We start from the raw sequence: 5,805 nt of genomic DNA, 5'->3' as shown, positions 1-5,805 counted from the left end.
TATGCAGAGAAGGCACTACTAGTATTTTTTTATTCTTCATTAAAAAAAAAAAAACTCTCTTGACAAACCACAATCTCTAGCTTAAATGTGCTTGGAAATCACAGAAGGAAATAGAAAGCTAACATATAGCTACTAGTATTTTTGTCTGTCTGTATCTTTGTAAATTAAGGTAAAAGATAAATCAAATGTTCCTAGCTTAAATTAAGTCAAATCAGAAGGAATAAATCAGATGATATAGCAAACACTTCCTCTTGACACCTGCAATTTCTAAAAGCATTAGGAATATTTTTATTAAATTCAGAGAAAGCATTAACTACAAATAAATACGTGACGTTTTCTAAAAGGCCACTTTGTGATAAAGTACATATAGTGTTCATGGTTTCTTTAAAGTGCTAGATTGTCTCTGGCTTGAGAATCATCTATTGTTTTCCAAGGTCTTTCAACACAACTCCAGCGCTGTTGTCAGGTAACACTGGCAAAGGTGTAAATGTGGGCCAAACATCTGAGATGGGTTTCAAAAGAAGATGCTGGGGCCCACCAGGTCCAAGTCCAGCTGGGTTAATAAGAGGTACAGCTGCCGAGCGAGGAGCCAAAACCGAATTTACCTCTCGTCTTCTACCTGACCTGGATTCTGCTGTATCTTTAAAACTTTCTGGTGCATTTGTGTCTAGTTTTCTCCTTCCTGGTGATTCTAGAGGTTTCATATCATGAACAGAAAGCTTTGGTGGTGGAACAGATGAATGAGATTCTGTTTCTAGAAATTTAACAAAACATTCTGAAAAAGAACTATTAAGCACAGATTGCTGATTTGGTCTCAAAGGTGTGTTGGGAACACTTTTTGATCCTCTTCCAAGCCACCCAGTCATCCACCTGGTAACACTGCCCTGATTGTCATGAAACAGCTGCTCCATCTCCTCCCTTCTGACCCCCAGGATGCTGCCCATCAACCGTAACACTTCGTGACGCTGATTTTTTGGCATGTGGAAATGACTGATGAAGAGGTTTCTCATTAGGACTTTGTCCACTTTTCCTTCTAGGCTGTTTGCTAAGTTCACCAATTTCTTTTGTACATCATCCAGCATTTCTTGTTGGAACTCATTTTGTTTTTTAAGTTCTTCAATTTGTTCTTCTTTTAGATCTAACTGTTCTGTAAGTCTTGATGCTGAATCCAATGCAGCATCTGCTTCATCCAAACGTTCCTGTAATGATATCACTTTTCTTTCCAAACTTTCTGCCTTTTTCTTCCATTCAGCTATAAGCTGTTTTTGCTTTTGTAGTTCAGCAGAATACATAGATTTTTCCTCTTTTTGGAAATGCTGTAGTACCATCTGCAGGTTGGCCAGTGACAGAGCATACTGCTTTACTTGTTGCTGAGAGGCAGAAAGCAGCGCAGTTTCATCCCTTTGCTTGGAGACTACATTCAATTGTTCTTGCAATGACTCTACCTGCACACTGGCTTGATGACTTGCATTTTCCATTGCATTAGAGGATGAAACTAGCTTTTCCTCCAATACTGTGACTTTCTTTCTTAGTTTAGCCTCTCTATGTTCTGAGGCCAAAGCTTCACTGGTATAAGAACCTTCTGATTCTAAAAGATGATTACGCAGTCTCTCTAGCTTCTGGTTTGACTGAAATTCTTAGTCACGTAAACATTGAACCTCTCTCTGTAGGGCAGTGTTTTCCATTTGTTTTTGTTTCAGGGCCAACATGACTTGGTCTCTCCTGTTGAAATACAACTGTCTTCTCCTGCACTGATTTAACTGCATTTAAAAGCTGTTTCTTTTCCACATTTAGCTGTTCTTGTTCTCTCCTCAAAATATCTCTACCATTTTCTGCAGAAGATAATTTTTTATTTATATCTTTTATTTTATCCTCAAGTTCCTCAATTTTTTTGGTAGACTCCACTTTTTCTGTTTGTAGAAGTTGAATAGTTTTTTTGCATCTCATAGACTTTAGAGTGATCAATTTCTGTAACTCCAGAGCTACCTTATTGTAACAGATTTTTGAGTTCTTCAGTTCGTTCTTCATAGTCACTTAATTCTTCTCGATGTCGTTGACTTATTTCTGTTGATGTGCATTGTGCAGTACTGATATTTCATGTTGATGGTCATCAATTTCCTGACTTTGGTTCTGTTTCAGTTCCTTAATGATATTTTGTAGTTTGCATGTTTTACTTTGGGCAGAGCTATGTGTTCCTCATGCTTTCAAAGTCTAAGCAATATGCCTCCAATAGCCAACTTCAGACTCAAGCCTTGAAACTTCATTTAAGAGTCGGTTTATTTCTTGTTGGGACAAAATTGTGTCCTCAAAGTCCATGTCATCATCATGGAAAGCTGAAGAATGATGACTAATCACATAAATGAATGAAGCTGCAGTGGTTGCTGGTACATCGCCAGCTGCTGAAGGTACTGACTGAGCAGCTGACCGCAGTTTCAGCAACTGATCCTGGAGGCAATCTGTCTGGCTTTAAGATGTCTGATTTCTACCTCTTTTTGTTGAAGTTGATTTCAACTTCAACAAAAAGCATTGTAGAATGCTTTTTAAACGTTAAAAAGCATTAATAAACAGCATTGTAGAATGCTGGTTTATTTGAAGCTCTGATGCTTCATATTTCACTTCTAGATCTGTACAAAGTTTCTTAAGCCTTTCATTCTCTGATCTCAAGATTGAATGAATGGCTTCAATTTCCTTTGTCCTGGAATCAGGTAATTCTGCTTCCACTTCCTCTGAGCCCTCCATCAGCATAACCTTTGTAAAGTTTGAAATCTGGCCAGTGAGGGAAGCCAGGCTGCCCCCGACTTGACCCAGAGACTGGCCCCATCTGGAGCCGAGGCTCCCAAGCCAGGACGACATCACGGCGACTTTAGTGAACTACCTGGTCCACTTGGAAAAAAAAGGTTTAGTGCCGTCGGATGATCCGACCAAATATCCTTGAATGCCTGCCTTCACGAGACTAGTCCAAAACACTCAGGATTCGATAACATAAGGCGGGGTTCCCAGGCAACGCCTGCTCCTAGTTCTGCTTAGAAACGCAGAGGCCTAGCCTGGGACTTTACCAGGTGCCCGCCTCTAGTGACATAGTCACCCATGCAGGGCTTCTGTTCATTCCCATGAATTCCCGTCGTCCAGATTGGGTCACTTCTTCATCTGCTCTAGTGAGTTTCTCCAGTTCCATGGGCAACTCCTGCCAACTTGACACCGCTCCCATGACACCTGCCAACAATTCTGCCAACAATTCTTTCTTTTTTTTTTTTAACTTTAAGTTCTGGGATACATGTGCAGAACGTGCAGGTTTATTACATAGGTTTACATGTGCCATGGTGGTTTGCTGCACCCGTCAACTTGTCATCTACGTGTTCAGCCCAGCATACATTAGGTATTTGTCCTAATGTTCTCCCTCCCCTTCCCCCAACTCCCCCACAGGCCCCGGTGTGTGACGTTCCCCTCCCTGTGTCCATGTGTTCTCATTGTTCAACTCCCACTTATGAGTGAGGACATGTGGTGTTTGGTTTTCTGTTCCTGTGTTAGTTTGCTGAGAATGGTGGTTTCCAGCTTCAGTCATGTCCCTGCAAAGGACATGAACTAATCCTTTTTTATGGCTGCATAGTATTCCATGGTGTATATATGCCACATTTTCTTTATCTAGTCTATCATTGATGGGCATTTGGGTTGGTTCCAAGTCTTTGCTATTGTGAATAGTGCCACAATAAACATACATGTTGATGTGTCTTTATAGTGAAATGATTTATAATCCTTTGGGTATATACCCAGTAATGGGATTACTGGGTCAAATGGTATTTCTGCTTCTAGATCCTTGAGGAATCACCACACTGTCCTCCACAATGATTGAACTCATTTACACTCCCACCAACAGTGTAAAAGCGTTCCTATTTCTCCACACCCTCTCTAGCATCTGTTGTTTCCTGACTTTTTGATGATCACCATTCTCACGAGCGTGAGATGGTATCTCATTGTGGTTTTGACTTGCATTTATCTAATGACCAGTGATGATGAGCTTTTTTTCATACGTTTGTTGGCCACATAAATGTCTTCTTTTGAGAAGTGTTTGTTCATATCCTTTGTCCACTTTTTGATGGGGTTGTATTTTTCTTGTAAATTTGTTTAAGTTCCTTGTAGATTCTGGATATTAGACCTTTGTCAGATGGATAGATGGCAAAAATTTTCTCCCATTCTGTAGGTTGCCTGTTCACTCTGATGATAGTTTCTCTTGCTGTGCAGAAACTCATTAGTTTGATTAGATCTCACTTGTCGATTTTGGCTTTTGTTGCAATTGCTTTTGGTATTTCAGTCACGAAGTCTTTGCCCGTGCCTATGTCCTGAATGGTATTGCCCAGGTTTTCTTCTAGGGTTTTTATGGTTTTAGGTTTTAAGTTTCAGTCTTTAATTCATCTTGAGTTATTTTTTGTAAAAGGTGTAAGGAAGAGGTTCAGTTTCTGTTTTCTGCATATGGCTAGCCAGTTTTCCCAGCACCATTTATTAAATAGGGAATCCTTTCCCCATTGCTTGTTTTTGTCAGGTTTGTCAAAGATCATATGGTTGTAGATGTATGGTGTTATTTCTGAGGCCTCTCTTCTGTTCCATTGGTCTATGTATCTGTTTTGGTAGCAGTACCATGCTGTTTTGGTTACTGTAGCCTTGTAGTATAGTTTGAAGTCAGGTAGCATGATGCCTCCAGTTTTGTTCTTTTTGCTTAGGATTGTCTTGGCCATATGGGCTCTTTTTTGGTTTCATATGAAATTTAAAGTAGTTTTTTCTAACTCTATGAAGGAAGTCAATGGTAGCTTGATGGGAATAGCAGTGAATCTGTAAATTAGTTTGGTTAGTATGACAATTTTCACAATATTAATTCCTCCTATCCATGAGCATGAAATTTTTTTTCCATTTGTTTGTGTCCTCTCTTATTTCTTTGAGCAGTGGTTTGTAGTTTTCCTTGAAAAGGTCCTTCACATCCCTAGTAAGTTGTATTCCTAGGTATTTTATTCTCTTTGTTGTAATTGTGAATGGGAGTTCACTCATTATTTGGCTCTCTGTTTGTCTTATTATTGGTGTATAGCAATGTTTGTAATTTTTGTACATTGATTTTGTATCCTGAGGCTTTGCTGAAGTTTCTTATCAGCTTAAGGAGATTGTGGGCTAAGATGATGGGGTTTTCTAAATATACAATCATGTCATCTGCAAACAGGGACAATTTGACTTCCTCTCTTCCTATTTGAATATGCTTTATTTCTTTCTCTTGCCTGATTGCCCTGGCCAGAACTTCCAATACTATGTTGAACAGGAGTGGTGAGAGAGGGCATCCTTGTCTTGTGCCAGTTTTCAAAGGGAATACTTCCAGCTTTTGCCTATTCAGTATGATATTGGCTATAATTTTGTCATAAATAGCTCTTATTATTTTGAGATATGTTCCATCAATACCTAGTTTATTGAGAGTTTTTAGCATGAAGGGGTGTTGAATTTTATGGAAGGCCTTTTCTGCATCTATTGAGATAATCATGTGTTTTTTGTCATTGGTTCTGTTTATACGATGGATTACATTTATTGATTTGCATATGTTGAACCAGCCTTGCATCCCAGGGATGAAGCCAACTTGATCATGGTGGATAAACTTTTTGATGTGCTGCTGGATCTGGTTTGCCAGTATTTTATTGAGGATTTTTGCACTGGTGTTCATCAGGGATATTGGCCTGAAATTTTCTTTTTTTGTTGTGTCTCTGCCGGCTTTTGGTATCAGGATGATGCTGGCCTCATAAAATGAGTTAGGGAGGAGTTCCTCTTTTTCTATTG

At 39.3% G+C, this 5,805-nt stretch overlaps 1 pseudogene; it reads right to left on the bottom strand.

Moving 5' to 3' along the window:
* Positions 1 to 222: 222 nt before the first annotated feature.
* Positions 223 to 2,614, bottom strand: LOC341378 (thyroid hormone receptor interactor 11 pseudogene; annotated as a pseudogene).
* Positions 2,615 to 5,805: the final 3,191 nt, after the last annotated feature.

This window comes from Homo sapiens, chromosome 12 (genome assembly GCF_000001405.40).
Source record: "Homo sapiens chromosome 12, GRCh38.p14 Primary Assembly".
Taxonomy (NCBI): Eukaryota; Metazoa; Chordata; class Mammalia; order Primates; family Hominidae; genus Homo; species Homo sapiens.
Note: the sequence above shows the minus strand (reverse complement) of the source record. Positions and strands in the feature narration are given on the sequence as shown.